The following is a 22,808-nucleotide window of genomic DNA, read 5'->3' as shown; positions in this document are numbered from 1 at the left end:
GTAGCAGCTTGCAAAATACTGATACTGATATAGTCCAGTATCTCAGCCAGCACATCGCCATTGGCACAAAAATCCTGGTTCGCCATATGTTGCATTTTCATTTTCACTCAGTTCTATATGTTTTTAAAATTTCCTTGAAATTTTCTCTTTGACACATAGAGTATTTAGAATGTGTTGTTTCGTTTCCAAGTGTTTGGAAAATTTCCCTTTTATTTTTGTTACTGTGGTCAGAGAACACATTTGTATGACTTAAATTCTTTTAAATTTGTTGAGGTTTGCGTTATGGCTCAGGATTTGGTCTAGCTTGGTGTATAGTCAGTGGGGCAACTGAGAAGAATGTGGATTCTGCTGTTGTTGGGTGGAGTGTCCTTTAAATGTTGATCCAGCCGTGTTGATTGACAGTGTTGTTGAGTTCCTTCATATTTTTACTGGTTTACAGTCTGATTGTTCTATCAAGTGTTCAGAGAGGGGAAACTGGCATCTCCAACTATAATTGTGGATTCATCTGTGTCTCTATTAATTCTATCAGTTTTGCTTCACATATTCTGCAGCTCTGTTATTTGGTGCATATATGTTTAGGATTGCTATGTCTTCTGGGCGGACTGACCCTTTATTGTTATAGAATGTCCCTCTTTATCTCTGGTAATTTTCTTTGCTCTGAAGTACACTTAACCTGATATTAATGCAGTCACTTCTGCTTTCTTTTTATCATTTTCATAATGTATCTTTTTCAACTCTTTTAACTTTCAACCTACTTATATTGTTTTATTTGAAGTGAGTTTCTGGTAGACAGTACATGGTTAGGTCATGTTTCTAAACATTACTCTGTCAATCTTCTTCCTTTCTTCTTCTCTTCCTCCTTCCTTCTCCTTTTTCCTTCTTCTTGTTCTTCTTCCTTCCTTCTTTCTTCCTTCTTCCTCCTTTATTTATTTAAGAGACAGGGTCTCGCTCTTGTCGCCCTGGCTGGAGTGCAATGGCTGTATCTGGGCTCACTGCAGCCTCCACCTCCCAGATTCCAGTGATTCTTCTGCCTCAGCCTCCCAAGTAGCTGGGATTACAGGCACCCACCACCATGCCTGGCAAATTTTTGTATTTTTAGTAGATACAGGGTTTCGTCATCTTGGCCAGGCTGGTCTCAAACTCCTGACCTCAGGTGATCCACCTGCCTCAGCCTCCCAAAGTGTTGGGATTACAGGCCTGAGCCACTGCACCTAGCCTGTTTCCTTAATTTCTGAAGGATATTTTTGCTGGAAATAGGTTTCTGGGTTGAAAGTTCTTTCAGAACTTAAAAAAATGCTATGCACTTCCTCTACAGTTACTGATGAGAAATCTGATCATCTGAACTGTTTTCCCCCCCCATATGTGTATATATGTAAGCTGCTGTTTCTCTCTCTTTTTGTTTTTTATTTTTATTTTTATTTTTTCGGAGAGGGGAGGGTTAGTATTCAGAGGTTTGACTATGATGTGTCCTGGTGTGGATTTCTTTGCATTGATCATGTTTGGGGTTTTCTCACCTTCTGAAATCTGTAGGCTTATGTGTCTTGCCAAAATTTGGAAGTTTTCAGCCATTATTTCTTTGAGTACTTTTTATGCACCACCCTCCTTCTCTTCTCTTTCCAGGATTTTGATGACATGGATATTAGATCTTTTATTATAGTCCCACAAGCTTCTCAGGCTCTGTTCAGTTCTTTTGGTCTATTTTCTCTTTGTTGTCCAAACTGTGTAATTTCTATTGTCTCCATTTCACCAATTCTTTCCTCTGCCCTCTCTATTCTGCTATTAAGCCCATTCATTGAGTTTTTTTAAAAAATCAGCTCTAAAATTTCCATTAGCTTTTTCTTTTTCTTTTCTATTCCTTGGTTGAAACTTTGTATTTCTTTGCTGAAACTTTTTCATTTGTTTCAAGCGTGTTTGCAATTGCCCAATGACGCATTTTTATGATGGTTGCTTTAAAAATTTTAAAGTCACTTTTAAAATTTCTGTCATCTCCAGGTTGGTATCATTGGTTGCCTGTTTTCATTCAGTTTGACATCTTCCTGATTCTTGGTATCATGAGTCCTTCCCCATTGCTTGATTTTGTCAGCTCTGTCAAAGATCAGATGATTGTAGGCGTGCAGCCTTATTTCTGGGCTCTCTATTCTCTTCCATTGGTCTATGTGTTTTTGTACCAGTGCCATGCTGTTTGGGTTACTGTGGCCTTGTAGTATAGTTTGAAGTTGGGTAACGTGATGCCTCTGGCTTTGTTCTTTTCACTTAAAATTGCTTTGGCTATTTCAGCTCTTTTTTGGTTCCATATGAATTTTAGAATAGTTTCCTCTAATTCTGTGAAAAATGACATTGGTAGTTTGATAACAATAGCATTGACTCTGCGGATTGCTTTGGGCAGTGTAGCTGTTTTACCAACACTGATCCTGCCCATCTGTGAGCATGGGATGTGTTTCCACTTGCTGGTGTGGTCTCCAATTCCTTTCAGCCATGATTTCCAGTTGTCCTTGCAGGACACGCTGCAGGGAAGGAAGGTCCTGGCTCCTGCTCACTTTCTTTGAGGCCACCTGGGGCCAGGGCAGGCACTGGACACTTCTCTGCAGTCTCACAAAGATGAGTCCAGGCTCCAGGCTCGGCCCTTGCTGGGCGGGGCCGCAGTGCTCCTGTGGGGTTTGGTTGGTGCAGAGCAGGGGGTGTAAATGCATCCTGGTCCTCCCTGGTCCTCTGATTACAGACCCAGGCTTTTGTTGGGGCATTTGTTTTACTTATTTTTTTGAGACTGAGTCTCACTCTGTCAACCAGGCTGGAGTGCAGTGGTACCATCTTTGCTCACTGCAACCTCTGCCTCCTGGGTTCAAGCAATTCTCCTGCTTCAGCCTCCCAAGTAGCTGGGATTATAGGTGCACACCACCACCCCTGGCTAATTTTTGTATTTTTAGTAGAGATGAGGTTTCACCATGTTGGCGAGGGTGGTCTCAAACTCCTAACGTCAGGTGATCGACCTGCCTTGGCCTCCCAAAGTGCTGGGATTACAGGTGTGAGCCACCACACCCGGCCCTGTTGGGGTATTTATTTTTTGAGACAGGGTCTGGCTCTGTCATCCAGGCTGGAGTGTAGTAGCATGATCTTGGCTCACTGCAACCTCCTGGGTTCAAACAATCCTCCCACCTCAGCCTCCCGAGTAGCTGGGATTACAGGCATGCGCCACCACACCTGGCTGGGATTACAGGCATGTGCCACCACACCTGGCTGGGATTACAGGCACGTGCCACCACACCCGGCTAATTTTTGTATTTTTAGTAGAGATGGGGTTTCGCCATGTTGCCCAGGCTGGTCTCGAACTCCTGGACTCAAGTGATCTGCCCGCCTTGGCCTCCCAAATTGCTGGAATTACAGGCGTGAGTCACCATGCCCGGCCAGTTGGGGCTTAAACTCTTTTTTATTACTCCAAAAAGCTTCATTTTTTCTTAGTTTTCTGACTCTGTGCTTGTGCCTCAGCACTTTCCCAGCGATTTTCGTTCCTTGAAGGGGAAAGCACTAACCCTGAAGGGATCCCACAGGAACACACACAGTGCACACAGAGCCACTGCAGCCTCACGGACGCGGTTTTTGTTTGAGACAATCTCATAAGAGCTTCAGGTCTCACAGCACCAACCCCCTGAGGTCGGCCTGGGCCACCTGCAGATGACAGTGCTTTCCCAGCCTTCTTGGTGTAAAGGTGAACGATCTATTGCTGGGGTTCAGGACAGCCTCTTTTCGTTACAGGCTAGACTGCAGGAAAGCCTTCGATGGTTTGGCAAATGGTGGACCATTCCGAGTTTCTCTAGACAACATCCCCAGAAGATGAAAAAGCGCGGCTTTTAGTGTGCGCCCATTGCTTTTTCCCGGTCACCGGCTTCTTTACCTCCAAGTCTCAATATGTGAGGCAGAAGGAAAACCCAGGGCACTCACGGCTGCCTTGTTCCTTGGTCCAGAGGCCCCTCGCCGGCTGCCGTCTCCTCCCCCTGCAGGTGGCCTGGTGCTTGTTTTTTGCACAGTGTGCAGGGTGCTTACTGCAGGGTGCTTAGTGCAGGGTGCTTACTGCAGGGTGTTTAGTGCAGGGTGTTTGTTTAGTGCAGGGTGCTTAGTGCAGGGTGTTTAGTGCAGGGTGCTTACTGCAGGGTGTTTAATGCAGGGTGGTTAGCGCAGGGTGCTTATTGCAGGGTGTTTGTTTAGTGCAGGGTGCTTAGTGTAGGGTACTTAGTGCTCTTCCTCGGTGGGAGGAGCGGGAAGTACACATTTCTATCATTCCTGAGTGGAAGTTTTACCTTGATTTTGAATGTAATTTATTGAATTGTATTTAAATTTGTGTAATTTAAATTTTAAGAATGCTCATGTTTCACAGGTGCCTTATACACATCCCTGGTTGTTTAGCCCTTAGTTCTCGTGAGCCAGGAGGCGCAGCTCTAGTGCACATGGCCAGTGCCGTCCACACCAAGCCCTGTCTTGGTGCCCCGGCCAGAGCCACGGCCCTGCTGGCAGATACCGCCTGTGGCCGCCTGGCCAGGAAGGGCTGCCCTGACTCCCTCGAGTCCTGATGGGGGGCTGCTGGACAGATGGGGGACGTGGCATCCCCGAGGGCTGGGGGCAGGGCTGGGGCAGGGTGGGGAGGGCCCGGGTACCTTTTCAGTTACCAGCCTCTCCTCTGCCAGCTCGGGAGCCAGAAAGAACGAGTCATAGGAACCTAAGAGAGAAACCCGACTGAGCTTTCCTCACCCCTGGCGAGCCGGTGCTGGACTCGGCCTGAGGGGAACCCACACACTCACCGTTGGCAGGGGGTGGCTGGAAGAGCACAGCCCCGTCCTCAGCAACCAGCACGGAGTCCAGACACAGGTAGGCTGTGGCAGAGCTTGGGTCAGGGCGGGTATGCATGCTGCCCCGCACTTGGGGCTGGCTGGGGGGAAGGAGCTGCGGAGCCTCAGTCAGGCCGGGCAGCCCCCCAGCCTCCCCATTGCACGGGCACGCACCTGCCAGTGCACGCACATGGCCTGACCCCAGCCCCCGGGGTCCTCGGAGCTGCCTCCTCCCAGCCCTCCCCGAGGGTAGCGCTGCCCCAGCCGACACAGTGGCTGCAGCGGCATATCTGCGGCTGAAAGGGAGCCAAGCGGCAGGGAGAACACGGTAACTTGAAGCCCCCGTGTCACAGGCCCCGTCCCGAGTCAGGGCCCACGGGGCAGCCACGGGCTCACGGTGGACGGACACTGGAGCCGGGTGTGTCTCCGATGGCCTCTCCCCCAGCCCTTTCAGATGCTGCCCTCATCACCCCCAGGACGTTTTTACGTCTCAGATGCACCGTCCGTCTGCCCTGATGTCTGGCAGGGCTAGGCTTTGACGGGGCAGACCCGTGCAATGCTGAAGATTCCCTCCCCACTCCAAAGCCAATTGCTGCCTCCCTGGGGACAATGTCACTGTGTTGAGAATGTGTGGGCGAGGGCCATGGCAAAGTCCCCGTTCCTCTTTACGGCACAGTCACCGGTTTCAAGGCCCACCTTGCAGGCATCTGTCCCCACACCTCCCTCGGTGCTGCAACCCAGCAGGCACCCACAAGGTGCTCCAGACGGGAGCCGCCTGTTCCGTTCACCGGAGACACTGTCCTGGCTGCCCCTGGGTCCCTTGGTTCAGGTGGGGGCCAGTTACGCATGGGACGGCAGGGGTGATGGGACAGTGGGGGGGCGTGGGACGGTGTGGGGGGTGGGACGGCGGGGGTGTGGGACGGCGGTGGGGGGTGGAACAGCAGTGGGGGGTGGGGACGGCGGGGGGGATGGGATGGTGCGTGCGTCACCTGGGTGCTCAGGGCGTGTCTGCAGTGCGCGGAGGCAGGCCAGGCACAGGGCCCACAGCTCGTACTCCCGGAAGGGCCGGCCCAGCTGGGACAGGAGGTCCTGCAGGGACACCCACTGTGGGCAGGAGAGCGGCGAGGTCAGTGTGGACACCCCTTGCCAGGGCCCGCCGCCTGGAGAGGCATGTCCGGGGGACAGGCCAGGGTGAGGCCCACTCAGCCCCTGAGTAGGCGCCCCCCACACCTGATAGAAGGGCTAGGGAGGTCCCTAAGTCAACTCCAGCGTGTGGGGGCCGTGGGGAGACTGGGGCCCTTGGCCCTGTGGGTGGGAACGTCCCACGGTGCAGCCACTGCAGACGACAGTGCTGCCGTTCCTTGAAAAGCTCAACATACACCTCCCAGGTGACAGCAGTTCCACACGGCCACATTCCCCGAGGAACCGAGGGCAGGGCTCACGCATACGTGCACACCCATGTTCCCAGCAGCACGGCTCGAAATAGCCAACACGGGGAGCACCCAGGCATCCACGGACGGACGCAGGGGCAGTGTGGATGGCGCTTGGCCTCGGGACAGGGATGGGGGGTTCTCACGCAGGCTCCCTGGGGAGGAACCGTGAGGACAGTGGGCTCAGTGAAGAGACCAGACACACAGCTCTGTCCATCCCACTCCCACGAGGCCCCTGGACAGAGCTCATGGAGGGGAAGGGTGGGACGGGGTGCAGGGGCCAGGCTCATGGAGGTGGAGGGCGGGACGGGGTGCAGGGGGCGGGCTCGGGGGTTGGGGTTTCGTGTGGGCTGATGGGGACAGCTGTGCAACAGCGTGAACACACCCAATGCCGCTGAGCTGTGCTCTTGCAGAGGGTTGAAGTGGTGGCTTTTGTTCGGTGCATTTTCTCACATACACACACACCGTGACACCAGGCATGCGTTCAGCCTGGGAGGCCACTCTCCACTCCAAGGCCTCACGGACAGCTGGGACCAAAGTCCACCCTCCAACAGGTGGCTCGGCCACCCTGTGCCTCCGTGTGCCCTTCGGGAAGGTAGGCTGTTGTGCGTGGGAAGGCGTGCCGCCAGGGAGAGTGGTGGAGGGCGACGGGGCACTGCGCCCTTGTCCTTCAGATCAACGAGGCCTGGTGGCTTGAGGGCACCCCCGTCCCCGGGCCAGGCGCTGCCTGGCAGATGGACTTGCATGCAGGCCACTGACTTCAGGTGACCTTGCCCGGAGGAGCTCACGGGGACACAGCTGGGGGTGGCTCACTGAGGAGCCAAGGAGGGCAAAATGCACTTGGCCAGGCCTTGGCCCAAGCGTCTTCGGCTGGACAGAGGGGCCGACGGACCAGGCCCCCCAGAACACTGGCTCCAACAGCATCCTCCATCCCTCGTGAGGAGCAGCTGACCAGGGGCAGCACTGGGCTGGGGAGGCCCCATCCTGTGTGGAGGCCACGTCCGGGCAGCCGCACCAGATCCCAGCGTCCCCGCGGAGGCAGCGGAGGTGGCCCAGCACCGACACCACCAAGCCCCACAGATGAGCAAGCTCAACCCACAGCTTTGGTTTCTAACTTTTAAACCGTCAGAATAGGAAGATGAGGAGGGCTGTGAGCATCAGGACTGGGGACACGGAGCCCCTGAAATGACATCACGGAGCCGGGGCTGCTGGCCTTGCTTCCCGGAAGAAAATTAATCCCTCGGGACGGCCGTGCGGGGCTGTGTGAGGAGCCGGGCAGGGCTGAGGAGGCGGCTGCTTTCTGGGTCATCCAGAGGCAAACGTCTACCCGAGAGGCCACGCCTGGGTGACAGCATCCCCAGCCGCAGCCACAGCTTCCTTCAGAAACGGGGCAGCTCAATGAAAATGTCTTTAATTATGGAGCGAGGGTGAAGGTTAATTCTCTGAGTTAAACAAAGCGTTTGCATCTGTGGAGAGGCCCGGCCCCGGACTCACTGACCGCCGACCCCTCCACCCACACACAAGACCCAGGCACCCACCTGCTCCGCGGCTGCACTTTCCAGCTGCCTAGCTCCTTCTGGAATTCTCTCATCGTCCCTGGGAGTCTGGGCTTCACCGCTAGCATCTCGAGGGTCTGCAGGGGCCTCTGCTGGCCCCTGGCTGGGGTGTGAAGTCTCGGGCTGTCCTGGACTGCCGGGCACCCCAGGGCCCCTGTCCGTGCTGCGGCCTGCACAGGGAACCCGTCCCAGCTGGTGTTCCGGCTCCTGCTCCGGCCACAGCCTGCATTTGGGCTGAGCCTGGAAGCTAGAAAGGCCATTTTTCCTGTCCAGAAAGGCCTTCCTGGGGTCCGGAGAGAATAATTCCGATATGGGCAGCTGGCTTTTCCCGCGGGTCAGCGGCAGGCAGAGGGTGGCCTCGGGGCTGTCGGACAGCAGCCTAGGGAACGTCTGCACCTTCCGCAGGCGGCTTCTCCTGAGGGCGTCTCTGTCCAGCTCCCCGAGGGTGCGCTCGGCATCCAGGACGAGGCCGGCCAGCCCCTCCCGGCTGTGGCTCTCGCCATTTCTCACCGGGGTGGACAGCAGAGCCTTGGTTGGGGAGGCTCTGGGGCCCCGGCTCGTCTCAGACTCCGGGCCTTCGGGGGTCGGCAGAACCTCCGGGTCAGTGCTGGGGTCCCCGGGCGGCCTCCTGGGCCCAGCGTTTCCTGGGGCAGGTCTCTCCCGCCAGCTGCTCTCGCTGACATCTGGGCACAAGCAAGATGTGGTCACGGCTGGGTGCCCCTCCCGCCCCTCCCCTCTCCTCCCGCCCCTCCCCTCTCCTCCCACCCCTCCCCTCTCCTCCCACCCCTCCCCTCCCACCTCTCCCCTCCCCTCCCCTCTCCTCCCCTCCCACGATCACAGACCCCAACCCAGGCTCTCACAGGAGGGGGCTCCCGCCTTCCTCTCCTGCCCCACTCATCAGGTCATCCTGGCTAATTAGAGGCTGGGGCTGCCTCTCCCCCAGGCCAGGCGGGGCTTCCCTCTGGGGCTTCCTATGGGAGCCTGGACCTAATTATCTCATCCAAAGGCACGTCGTTTTCCTCGAGGATTACACAGGTGAGTCCCCACAGGAAGAACCTGGATGATGTGGCTACGGCCGTCAGCGGCCGCCTCCCACACACGGCGTTGATCTCTCTCTGCTGTGTGTGGCTCTGTTCTGCCTACTTCACACTGCACACACTGCCTACTCCACACTGCACACACTGCCTACTCTACACTGCACACACTGCCTATTCCACACTGCACACACTGCCTACTCCACACTGCACACACTGCCTACTCCACACTGTACACACTGCCTACTCCACACTGTACACACTGCCTACTCCACACTGCACACACTGCCTACTCCACACTGTACACACTGCCTACTCTACACTGCACACACTGCCTATTCCACACTGCACACACTGCCTACTCTACACTGCACACACTGCCTATTCCACACTGCACACACTGCCTACTCCACACTGCACACACTGCCTACTCCACACTGCACACACTGCCTACTCCACACTGCGCCCCTCCCGCAGCAGCACAAACCCTGAGCTGCAAACGTGCTCATTCAGCAGGGAGGGCCCTGCCGGCCACCATGAGACTCCTCGTGGCCGTGCCCTGGCTACCGTCCTGAGGCCCCACGGGGCTCCGTGCTGCAGGTAGCGATGCCAATGCAGACACGGCCTCTGTTCAAAGGCGGCCTGAGAGACACCAGAATATGCGTGAGCCACAAACGCCCCAGATGCTGCAGCTGCAGCTCTGTAACGCACCCACCTGGCGCTCCTGGTGGGGGCAGGTGAAATTCAGTTGTGAAACATCAACCCATCCGTTTATTGAAATGCCCATGAGACTAACACCCAGATGCCTGGCACCAATGCCACACCGGCACCAATGCCACACTGGCACCAATGCCACAGACTTCTGAAGCTGAGCCTGAGTCACCTCTGCCTGCGTGGGTGCCTGCAAGGCTGGCACAGGCAACATGATGCACATGAGAGTGTGGAAATGGGTGTGTGCATAGGACCAGCATGTTTGCGTGTCTGACCACGTGTGAGGCAGTGGACGTGGTAGGCATGAGAGCGGGTGTGTAATGTGTGCATTCTGGTGTGGGCGTGTGCAGTGTGAACAGGCATGCCTGAATTTTCATGTGTGTGACTGTGAGCAAGAGTGAATATGTGTGTACGAGGCACATGTGATCTATTTGAACACTCGTGTGTGACTGTCAGTGTGTGAATACGTGAGTTTGTGTGATCTCTGAATGTGTGAGTGGGTGTGTGCGTGTGTGCGTGTGTGTGCGCAGCATGTGTGTGTGCATGGGTGTGTTGCAGCGTGTGTGCAGCACATGTGCATAGGTGTGTGTGCATGGGTTGTGCAGTGTGTGCATGGGTGTGTGTGCAGCGTGTGTGTGCATGGGTGTGTGTAACGTGTGTGTGCAGTGTGTGCGCATGGGTGTGTGTGCATGGGTGTGTGCAGCATGGGTGTGCATGTGCATAGGTGTGTGTGTGCATAGGTGTGTGTGCAGTGTGTGTGCATGGGTGTGTGTGGCATGTGTGTGCATGGGTGTGTGTGCAGTATGGGTGTGTGTGCAGTGTGTGTGTGTGCATGGGTGTGTTTGCAGCATGTGCACGTGTGCATACATGGCACACAGGTATATGTGCATGAGGATGCACGTGTGTGGGTTCAAGAACTCACCCTGCAGCGCTCCGAAGGACTCGATGGAGAGGACCCTCCTCCCCACAGCAGAGAGGCTCCGGCACACGCGACAGGAGGATGTGAGCTGCAGCTTCTCTTCACACAGCGCGATGATGCTCTGGGGACGGGAACACCTCAGACAGGAAGGCTCGGAGGAGGGGCCATCTCCCGCAGCCACCCACCCGACACGGCCGGATCCTTTGAAGGTGACCTGGGGACAGTCCCCAGAGCCTGCCTGCGCCTGCCTTGCCCATTTTCTAGTATGAAAAGGCAGCACATCTGGGTTGCAGAGAACCAGGAGGCTTGTCACAAGCAAAACCTTTCATAACAAAAATGGACAATAAAAAACCAAGTCCTCCTTTAAGCAAAATGCCATGCCATGAGACTGTGGTTGCGGAACCCAGGTGAGGCTGCTGGGCGTGGGTGTGGTGAGCACACGGTGTCCAGGCCTGTGGGGTCAGGGTCACAGCCTGGGGTGGCCCAGGGCAGCCTCGCTTACCTCAAGGTCCGGCCGGTCCCCGGGGTCCTCCGCCTGCATCCGGCTCAGCAGCGCCTCGAGGTCTTGGCTCAGCCTGGGTTCCAGTGTGGGCTCTGCCACGTACTCGAGGGCGGCCTTCAGCGTGGCCCCCAGAGAGTAGATGTGCGCCTGTGGGCACGACAGGCTGTCAGCTCCAGAGTCTCTGCGTGTGCGCCACCCCGACCGCGGCCAGCACTTCTCCGGGCCAGGAGCTCAAGTTTCAGGAATCGTGAGATTCCCCTGAGGGGAAGCAGCACCCGTGCCCACGCTGCCCACACCCTTGCCGCCCGCGCCCACGCCGCTGGCACCCTCGCCGCCCGCGCCCACGCTGCTCACACCCATACCGCCCACACTTTTGCCGCCCCTGCCGCCACCCACGTCCACACTGCCCGTGCCCACGCCGCCCACACCCTCCTCACTTGTACCCACGCCGCCCATGCTGCTCGCACCCATGCCACCCATGCCCTTGCCGCCTGTGCCCACGCCGCCTGTGCCCACACCGCCTGTGCCCACACCGCCTGTGCCCACACCGCCTGTGCCCACACCGTCCGTGCCCACATTGCTCGCACCCACGCCACCCATGCCCTTGCCGCCTGCGCCCATGCCACCCACGCCCACACCACCTGCGCCCACACTGCCCGCGCCCTCGCCGCCCGCGCAGTTGGGCCTAGATCTGTGCTGGCCATGGCCCCGCCCCTCTGCGCTTTCTGGAGGGACACAGACTCCTCTGGCCTTTCAGTGTTTAGGTCAAAAACTTCAAAACCTCAAAAACTGGATTTCAGTAGAAGGAAAGATGGGTTTTTCTTTTTGTTTGAGAGTCTGGGTTTTCCTCCCTTGCCTGAGAGGGTGGGCTCTGCACGAGGTCCACCCTGGACACGGCCGCACTTCAGGCCTGGACACTTCTTCCCAGGACGGCTGCCTGTGGGGCTTCACCTTTCCCACAAGAGGAAGCAGAACGCAGAGCGGCTCAGGAACCTGCCTGGGGCCACATCGCAGGTCACACAGCTCATGTGTGGAGCCAGGACCTGACCCAGGGCCTGCTCTGCCCCCGCACCTGTGCTCCCAAGTGTCCACTCTAGTCCAGGCTGGCTGAGTGGACACGCACCTGCATCCTGGGCTGGCTGAGTGGACATGCACCTGCGTCCTGGGCTGGCTGAGTGGACGCGCATCCGTGTCCTGGGCTGCCCTGGCCCCAGGCCTCTCCCTGGGTGGTCTCAAGATATCGTCACAGAACCCTGAGACCCACCTCCCCAGTCCGTCGTGAGGTCCAAGGTGACCAGCGGAGCATCCAGTCTTCACAGAAAGCCCTGCATCCCGCGGCCCCAGGCTAGCTGGTCATCCTGGCCGACTCCCCCTCTCTGTCAGGGTCTGTCTCAGGGTCAGGCTGCAGGGACCCAGCCAGATCCCAGGGCCCCTGACTCCACCTGAGCCTGGCTCCAACCACTATCACCAAGCTCATCCAATTCTGCCTCAAACTCCTTTTTCTCCTGAGATGTCTTATTTGAACAAGACAGAAAGTGTCACAGAGAAGAAACCAGGTGCACCCAGCACCCCACACTTTCTTCTCTGGGGCATAAACTGCCTCGCAGGTGGTTCCACTTCCACAGTCTGGTGTGTGTGTGTGTGTGTGTGTGTGTGGACGGTCCTGGGGCTTCCTGGTCTGGACACGGGCACACATGCAGACACATACGTGCACACCCAGCACACACAGACAGCTGGACACGCATCTCTTCTCTCTCCCCAGCTGCACTCTGCCTGCATCCTGGCTTTTTCATGGCGTGAATCTCCTTCCCGGTCAGGAACCCCGGCTGACCTTCTCTGTCCCATGCCTGGCCCTGCCTCCCCCGCAGGCTGGTTTCTGCTTCTCCTCTACCCTCTCCCTCCTGCACCCTGCCTGGTGCCCTGGGGCAGCCCACCTGGCACACCAGCCAGGCCCCCGGCCGCTGGCCATCCCCACAGACTCCCTGCTGTGCACGCACCTCTGGTAGGGGACCTGGCACCTCCCTGTCCCCTCACGGCTCGCCTGGCACCGGCCCCAGCCACTGTCTCTGACTTTGCACCTTGGGCCAGGAGCCCCGATAGCTGCTCTGCTGCCAACTCCTGGGGTCTCCTGTGCCATCCGGGGGGGACCTGCCAGCCTCTCGTGCCTGGGCCAGGGTCCGCCTCCCTGGGGGACCTGTGACATGCATGTTTGGGCACACAGGGTCCGTCCCCTCCGCTCTGATGCTGCTGTGGGTGCTTCCCATGTTCTGCTGTCATGACCGACACTTCCCTGGGTGCCCCATGTGGCATCTGTGGGTGCCCCGTGTGGCGTCAGTGGGTGCCCCATGTGGCGTCAGTGGGTGCCCCGTGTGGCGTCTGTGGGTGCCGCGTGTGACGTCAGTGGGTGCCCCATGTGGCATCTGTGCAGCCATGTCAGGTGTGCAAAGCCTCAATTCCAAGAAGGGGGATGCTGGGTCCCAGGTCACCTCCACTTACAATTCTGACAGCTGCGACAAACCCTCCTGATAAATGACCGTCCGGTTTACTCACCAGCCGCAGCCAGTCTCTGCGGCTTTGCCAATCTGTTAGAGTAAACTCACTCGTCGAGTTAATTTGCATTTTTGTAATTATGAATGAGACCAAGCATCTGTTCGTATCTACTCGCAGTTTTAATTTTTCCTCTAAATCCCCATGCAAGGACTATGCTTTCTCCGCTGAGGTAGGACTGCCGAGCGCCCCTGCGCATCAGGGCTCGCCTCAGCCTGGGCGCCGCACACACGCTTGCTGTGTGTGTTGCCAGCTTCTAACGTTGTGCGTGTGTCTTCTCACATCCAAGAGCTCTAAGTGCCCATGTGTGGAATCTGACCTGTTTATCTTCAGCAGCTTTGCAGGAGGATGTTCTCCACCCCGAGGCTACAGGGACAGCTTTCCTTTGTTTCTGCTAATATTTTTATAATTTTAAGATATCCAGACCTAATCTGTTTGAAGCCTCACTCTCTGGGGTGTGAACTTGGAGGGCACCCTCCGGCTGGCACCATAAGGAAGGGCTCCTCCTGCCCCTGAGACGCTATCCTTGCAGCCGCGGAGCCTCACATCTCCAGGTCTCTGCATGGCCGCGGGCGAGGGGCCCCTTGGAGCCCAGAGGACGCAGTCGGCCCTCGAGGTGCAGAGCCATACGGGGCCTGCCTTGCACCGATGCAGGGAGCTCAGCATTTCTGCCTTCTGGAAGCTTCTGACCTGAAGGATGGTGCACCCTGAAGGAGGGAAACACAACTGTGTGCTGCCCGCGGGGGTCAGGAGACAGCGATACATGGAGAAACAGATTTCTGTGAGAAACTGTGCTGGAATCAGAAGCTGCAGTATTTGAGCCACCGGCGAAGAGCAGCCGTTTGAGTGAGTTCCCTGGGGGTCATGTTGCCAGGGAAGGCTCCTCTCAGGAAACAAGGACCTCGGAGGCCCCAGGGCAGCAGGACGAGGCTGGACCACGGGCAGGCGTCTGGCAGAGGAAGGGAGGGTGGGGCCCACTCTCCAAGCCTGTGGGCCAGAAAACCTGGGACGCTGTCCTGGGAGCACCGAGTGGCCCTGCCTGGCTGGGCTTGGCCGTCAGCGGAGGGAACAGGCTGGAGGGAGGCCGATCAGGCATGAAATGATCACACCTTAGGCCACAGGGCGACGGGGAGCCGGGTCGAGGAGGTGGACGTTGCAGCTTCCTGCTCCGGGCCTCTCTGTGGTCCAAAGCCTGCAGCTCCCACGGCGCCTGCGATCGCGATGGGCATCCCGGTAGCTCTCGCCTCGAGTGGGGACAGGGCCTGGCCACGCACGTGAAGTGGACGTGAAAACTTCCCCACGAGATGCGATTCCTGAGCAAACGCGGTCAAGCCAAGTGGTTTTCAGTTCAACACTGGTTGAAGTTTTTCTCCAAACTGAAAAGGCCACCTCTCTAGGGGGTAGGAAGCGGGTTACACTCTCCCGAGTCTCGCTTCAGGAAGCCCCTCCTCTGCTCTGCTGGAGATTCTTGGATCAGGGTCCAGGTCAGCCCTGGGAGGCTCTTCGTGGCCCTGGGAAGCAATTCCAGTGGACTTGAGGTGACTGGTTCAAAGAAGAATTGCGGCTGCAGCACTCAGCGTGGTGGGTCCACCACAGCCCGGGCCTCAGGAGGACACTGTGAACACGCACCTGGGGGCTCCCAGGACCGCCTGGGCCCAGACAGGGCCTCACTGGCCAGGGCTCTGCAGACAAATGGTTGATCAGATTTCGGGGCAGGAACCCCATAGAAGGGGCTGGAGCATCCTGCCACACCAGGAAGTGGGTCAGAGCCCAGCAGAGCTGCGTCCCAAGGACCGGGGTGCCTTCTGAGCTTCAGGTGGAATCAGCAGAACAGACAAAATCCCATCAAAGACGTGCGAATCTTAAATTCATAAGATCATAAAACCAAGCTCACTGGTCCACGTTGGAGGACGCTGGATGCACTCACTGCTTTGAAAACAGGTGGATGAAGAGAAGGAGTCGAGCCTCCCACCTCTCTGTCCACAGGGACTGTCTGCTGCGGCTGCCCAGCGTCGATGAGGGCGGCTCTCCTGAGAGCGGGAGCCCTGCTCACGAACCAAGGTGAGGACTACTGTGGCGGCTCGCAGGATTCATGGTGGCTGCTGACGGCTGTCAGGGAGCAGACACCACAGGTCCCCGGTGGGCCCTGGTAGGAACCTGAGTCCTACGGCACCCCTGACTGTCCTGGGCCTGGCCTTAGGGACAAACCACCAGGTTTTCAACAAAAACCACAAGGAAGAAAGAGAGTCGGGGGTGTGGGGTCATGAGAGACTCAGGAGGCACAGAGGCAGCCAGGTGTGTGGATCTCACTCAGATCGCATGGGGAGATGGCTGGAAGAGCAAGATTCGGGCAGCAGAGGGGGGACCGGAACCCTCAGTCCATACCCACCCAGGCTGGGAGTGGCTTGAACGTTTCCGAGCGTGGCCGAGGCTCTGTGGTTACGTGTTAAGAGGGGCCTGATCTTTTCGGGTAAATCCGAGGCTGGGTGGAAAGCCTATTCCTTGAAACTTGCTGTAGTTTCGCTAATGTAGCTTCGCATATGCTGTTCTTACTCTCTTTTCTGTATGTTTAAAATGTTTTGTCATGAACATTAAAAAATAAAAAGCACTATCCACTGAAAGCCTTGTCCTCACCCAAAGACTGAGGATCAATCCAGTGCTGCAGACATGCACCATGCTACACATGTGTGCCTGTGACATGCAACACGCTACATGCATGCACACACACCACATACATACACATGCCACACTGCACACACATGCATGCTACACACAGGATACACTCGTGTGCCCGTGACACATAGACTACATGCATGCACACACACCACACACATGCACGCTACACACTGCACACACACCAAACTGCACACACATGCACGCTACACACACCATGCTACACACGTGTGCCCATGACACATACCACATGCATGCACACACCACATACATGCACACCACACTGCACACACATGCACGCTACACACATACATCATGCTACACGTGTCCGTGACATAACACACTACATGCTTGCACACACACACTGCACACACATGCACACTACACACACACCATGCTACACACGTGCCCATGACAACACACTACATGCATGCACGCACACATTACACCACAAACATGCACACACCATAGTTCATACACAGGCATGCTACACACACCATACCACACACATGTATGCACACCATGCAACACTCATGTGGCCACAACACACCATACCACATGCATGGACACACACATTACACACATGTGCCCATGATATACACACCACATGCATGTACACATCATGCAACACACATGCTCACAACACACTATGTGCATGCACATGCATTATGCACATGTGCCCGATACACACACCACATGCATGTACACATGCAACACACGTGCTCATGACACACACTATGTGCATGCACACACATTACACACATGACCATGACACACACCATACTACATGCATGCACACATGGCATACATGTACAAGATGCATACCACATTACATTCATGCACACCATCATACACGTGTGCTTGAAACACACCACACACCATACTGCATACGTGTGCACAACCCACAGACATAGCATGCCATGCATGTACACACGGGCATGACACCACGCTACATACATGTACACACTACATAGATGCACACATATGCCAGACCACATACATGTGCACACAAAACACACTATATCATATTGCATGCATATGCACACACCATGCACACACACACTATACTACATACACGTGCACATGACACACTATACTGTATACATGTGCACAGAGACACAGACACACAATTGGACATGGACATGGATACATTCTCTGCCAGGCAGCAGCTGCATGGGTCCCCAGCAGAAGAGGGTGAGCAGAGGTTGGTGCACAGCTGGGTGATCTGCTGTGGGCTGGGTCAGCTGCCATGCAGGGCAGCAGGGAACGCAGACTCAGATGGCAGAGGCTGCATCTGAATTCTGGCCCTGCCATGGCCTGACCAGGCCAGCTAGGGCACGTCTGCACATTTCCGAGCTGTGCTCAGCTTGACTGTGGACAGTGTTCCTGCAGAGTGGGCAGCAGCATTCTCGGCTGTGGCCAATGGCTTGAGCACAATAACCCCAGATGGCACCTCCCTCAGCCTAGATGCAGGGGTGCTGAGCAGCACCAAGCACAGCCCCGGTCTCCAGGGGATCTAATACCTGAGGACCCAGAGCACATTAGCAAAACTACAGCAAGTTTCAAGGAACTGGAGTGGGGCCAGCCTCTGTGGGCTATGGGTCAGGGAGGATTCCATGGAGATGTGAGTGAAGCTGTGAGAAGACAAGAGAGGACACTCCAGGTCAAAGGAGCAACCTGGGCAAAGATGTGGAGGCAAAAGTATGGACCAGAGGTTTGAAAACCCGGCCGAGCATCCAGATGGCCAGGGCCCACTGCACATATGCCTACCAGGCACTGCACACACAGAGGGCAGGAGACCAGCAACAACCCTCCTGGGATCATGCTCTCAACAGTGATTCCCACAGCCTTGAGAATAGAACTTATCTCCATACCACACGGAAAGCCAGGGTATTCATTCCTTCCCTCCATTCCCCTTTGTTTCCATCCAGGCACCTGGAACCCATCCGTCCACCCATCCATCCACTTATCCATCCATCTGCCCATCCCCCATCCACCATGCATCCATCCGCCTATGTATCCATCCACCCATCTAACTACATATCCACCCATCTATCAACCCATCCTCCACACATCCACCCACCCATCTATCCTCCATCAATCCACCCACCCATGATCCATCCACAAATCCACCCATACATCTGCCTGTTCATACACCTATCAATCCATGTATCTACCCATCCACCCATCCATCCATCCACCTATCCACTCACCCACCCATCTATCTATCCATTCATCCATCCATCCATCCACCCATCCATTCACCCACCCATCCATCCATGCATTCACCCACCCATCCATCCATCCATCCACCCATCCATTCACCCACCCATCCATCCATGCATTCACCCACCCATCCATCCATCCATCCACCCATCCATTCACCCACCCATCCATCCACTTAACTGCCCATCCACACGTCCACTCACCCATCCACCCAGCCAGCCATCTACATATTCACCCATCTACCTACCCATCCATCAGCCCATCCTCCACCCGTCCATCCTCTACTAATCCATACACTCATCCGTCCATTCACCCATCCATCCACACATCCATCCCTATCCGACTGTTCATCCACCCATCCACCCACCTACCCATCCTCCACCCATCTATCCACCCATCAATTCATACACTCATCAATCCATCTGCCTGTTCATCCACCCATCCATCCATCCATCCATCTACCCATCCATTTACTCACCCATGCATCTACTCATCTATCCTCCACCCAACCATCCACCCACCCATCCATGTGCCTGTTCATCTACCCATCTATCTACTTATCCACCCATCCACCTGTTCATCTACCATCCACCCACCCATCCATCCACTCATCCATTCATCTACCCATCCACCCACTCACCCATTCATCCACCCATCCATCCTCCACACATACAACCACCCACCCACCCATCCATCCACTTATCTATCCAACCACATGTCCATCTACCTATTCACCCACCCACCCATCCAGCCACCCATCCATCCACATATCCACCATCCACCCATCTATCCACCCACCCATCCATCCATTTGTTCATCCACCCATCCATCCACATATCCACCATGCACCCATCCACCCACTCATCCATCCACATATCCACCATCTACCTTTTCATCCACCCATCCACCCACCATCCATCCACCCATCCATCCACATATCCACCATCCATCTATCCATCCACCCATCCACCCACCCATCCATTTACCCATCCATCCACATATCTACCTTTCCACCCATCTTTCCACCCACCCATCCATTCACATATCCACCATCCACCCATCCACCCACTCATCCATCCACATATCCACCACCTACCTGTTCATAATCCCATCCACCCACCCATCCACACATCCACCTATCCATTCACATATTAACCATCCATCTATCCATCCACCCATGCATCCACCTAACCATCCATCTGTTCATCCACGCATCCATCCACATATCCACCATCCACCCATCCGCCCATTCGTCCATCCACATACCCACCATCTACTTGTTCATCCACCCATCATCCATCCACCCATCCATCCACATATTAACCATCTATCTGTCCATCCACCTATCTACCCACCCATCCATCCACATATCCACCATCATCTGTCCATTCACCCATCCACCTGCCCATCCACCCACCTATCCACCTATCCATCCACCTGGCCATCCACTCATCCATCCCTTCATTCATCCATCATCAATAATCTATGCTCCAACCATCAATCCATTTATTTAGAAAATAACTCAGCAAATAACCTTCTGGTTAGTTATTGGTTGACACTGCCTGATACACACCCGGTGGTATCAGCAACCTTCCCACTCACCGCCCTTCCTTCTGTGTTGGAAGTTCCCCATCTTCACCGCCCTTCCTTCCGTGTTGGAAGTTCCCCATCTTCACCGCCCTTCCTTCCGTGTTGGAAGTTCCCCATCTTCACCGCCCTTCCTTCCGTGTTGCAAGTTCCCCATCTTCATTCAGTGAACCCTACTCAACCTCAGGTCCCAGTTGAAACTCCACCTTCTCACAGTGGCCTCTGGAGGCCTCTGATGCAAACAAGAGCCTTGGGGCCCCATTCTCATGTCCCAGCATTATTGGATCCCCAGCCTGTGGGTCTCACATCAAGTCTGTCACTTGTGTAGACCAGAACCAGCAAGAGGCAGGACCCCACTCACCCTGCTGTCTGTGAGCCCAGACGCTTGCTAAGCCTGCATGTCGTGGATGAATGCCAAGCAAACAGGCCAGCGATGGGGGAGGGGTCGGAGTCTTCCAGGCCGGGCCACTGGAGCCCATTGGTGCTCAGGGCAGCGGGGTGGAGAGGGGAGCCTCATGGGGTGGAGGCTGGAGAAGTTAAGAAGAGAATGAAAATGACACATAAAAGCCCTAGTGTGTTTGGAAGTTTAGAGACGACTGTTGGGAATAAATGCTTTCCATGGCCACACGGAATAAATCTCACACCCGTGATGCTGGGTGGAGGACTAGCCACCAAAGGCAAGCGCTGCAGGAGCCCACCCACAGGAGGCACAAAAACAGGAAAACCGCAACCTCTGCTCTGCGCTGTCCAGACAGTGACCCGGGGAACAGGCAGGAGCTGCTGCCATCCATCTGGGTGCTGCTTACACAGATGTTCGGTGTGAAAATCCTTCAAGTTGTATGTTTGTGATATCTGCATTTTTCTGCATGTATATCTCAATAAAAAGTAAGAAAAAACCAATCTGTTCACATTGTTAAAATAACTCAGGGGCTAAAGAAGAAATCCCAGTGGAAATAAAAAAAAAAATTAGAAGGAAATGATCATGCAAACATTATGTGGCAAACTCATAGGCTGCAACAAAACCTACAGGTTGAGGAACATTCATAGCCTTAAGTACTCTTACTGATATTGGAAAGGAAGAAAAGCTGAAAGCCAATGACCTAAGTGTCCAGCTCGAGTCAGAAAAGGGATGGATCCTAAACTCAGAACAAGGAGGAAAAGAGAGAATGAGAAACAAGAATCAATGGAAAAGAAAACACAGACAGGCCAGGAGAGCAGACGGGACACAGAGGAGGCTCTTTGGAAAAATGAACGAACTAAACCCCTAGTGAGACTGGGAAGAGAAAGCACAAATTAACTGTCCAATCAGAGAATTGGGGTGACCTGCAGCTAATGCAGCGCCTGAAGAGGAGAGCACCTGCAGCTGAAGGCCAGAGATTTCACAAACATAAAAAGCAGACCCACAGCTGACTCAGTAAGAAACACCAGAGATCAGTCCTATAACTATTTTTTTAAGAAGTGGCGTCTCACTCTGCTGCTCAGGCTGGAGTGCAGTGGGGTAATCATGGCTCACTGCAGCCTGGAACTCCTGGGCCCACGCAGTCCTCCCGCCTCAGCCTCCTGAGCGGCTGGGGCTACAGGTACATGCCACCATGCCCGGCTAATTTTTAAAATGTTGTGTAGAGACAGGGTCTCAGTTTGTTGCCTAGGCTGGTCTCTAACTCTGGTCTTCAAGTGATCCTCCTGACTCGGCCTCCCCAAATCTCCCTGTGCTGGGATTATAGGGGTGAGCCACTGTGCCCAGCCAGTCCTGTAGCTATTAAAAACTGAGCAGTAGTTAAAAATCTTTCCTAAAGAAAACAGGTGGCCCTGTAAGTGAGTTTTACCAGACTTTCAAGGAACAGATCATCCCATTCTTAAATAAACAGGACAAAGAAAGGGAGGGGGTGCTGCTTATACAGGATTAGAACAATCCTGAGGCCGGTGAAAACATCAACAAAATGGGAAATCGCCAGTCCACTCCAATATGCGCAACAATCTGAAGCAAGCGTTAGTAAATCCAATTAAACAGTGTATACAAAAGGCAAGACACTTGCCCAATTTAGGTTTTTCTATGTAAGAAAGGATGATTTAATATAAGAAAATAAAGATGTGAATATGAAAATCTTAAGAAAAAATTAAAGGATCATGTCAAAGGATGCAGAAGAAACATCTTGTAAAATTGACACACACATTCACGATCAAACTCTGCATCAAGGGGGACTCGCGGTGGAGGCGGGCGCCATTCTGGATGAGGAAGGTGAAAAGCGCTCTTTTTAGAATGGGGGATGGGGGGAGTGGTCAGTTTCTCCCTGAGATGGGACAGTGCCCAGCCTCACACTGCTTCTGTTCCAAGACTCATTGCTGTTCCCTGCTGCATCAAGTAAGAGAAGGAAGGAAAACCTGTAGCAGGACCATCGGATGGGAGGAACCAACACTTGTTTCTTTGTCAGTGATTGATCAGTTAAATAGGAAAACTAAAAGAATCTGTAAGTTATTAGAAATATTAAAAAAACTTTAGCAAGATGGCTGGATATAAAATAAAGATACTAAAGTGAATTGTGGCCAGACACAGTGGCTCATGCCTGTAATCCCAGCACTTTGGGAGGCCAAGGTAAGAAAATCACTTGAGCCCAGGAGTTCAAGACCAGCCTGGGCAACCTAACAATACCCTGCCTCTACAAAAATAAAAATAAAAACATTAGCTGGGTGTGGTGGCGTGTGCCTACAGTCTCAGCTACTTAGGAAGCTGACGTGGGAGGATTGCTTGAACTCAGAAATTTGGGGCTGCAGTGAGCTATGCCACTGTGCTGCACCCTGTCTCGAA

At 54.8% G+C, this 22,808-nt stretch overlaps 1 protein-coding gene across 6 annotated transcripts in view; it reads right to left on the bottom strand.

Annotated features, from left to right (window-relative positions):
- KNDC1 (kinase non-catalytic C-lobe domain containing 1) overlaps positions 1–22,808 on the bottom strand; it is a 66,194-nt gene that overhangs the window by 31,953 nt on the left and 11,433 nt on the right. For 3 of the 6 annotated variants that reach the window (NM_152643.8, XM_017016858.3, XM_017016859.3), the window contains exons 4-9: positions 10,970–11,116; positions 10,471–10,588; positions 7,786–8,486; positions 5,807–5,921; positions 4,791–4,862; positions 4,647–4,708 (exon numbers count right to left, since the gene is read on the bottom strand). In NM_152643.8, coding sequence (NP_689856.6) covers positions 4,647–4,708; positions 4,791–4,862; positions 5,807–5,921; positions 7,786–8,486; positions 10,471–10,588; positions 10,970–11,116 — 1,215 coding nt within the window. Of the gene's footprint in view, positions 1–4,646; positions 4,709–4,790; positions 4,863–5,806; positions 5,922–7,785; positions 8,487–10,470; positions 10,589–10,969; positions 11,117–13,619; positions 15,626–19,904; positions 20,530–22,808 lie in introns of those variants that run through there. The other 3 variants (NM_001347865.2, NM_001347866.2, XM_024448245.2) reach the window with 3 other exon arrangements.

The sequence above is a fragment of the Homo sapiens genome, chromosome 10, assembly GCF_000001405.40.
Source record: "Homo sapiens chromosome 10, GRCh38.p14 Primary Assembly".
Taxonomy (NCBI): Eukaryota; Metazoa; Chordata; class Mammalia; order Primates; family Hominidae; genus Homo; species Homo sapiens.
The sequence above is the reverse complement of the archived record's forward strand: the minus strand, read 5'-3'. Positions and strand labels throughout refer to the sequence as shown.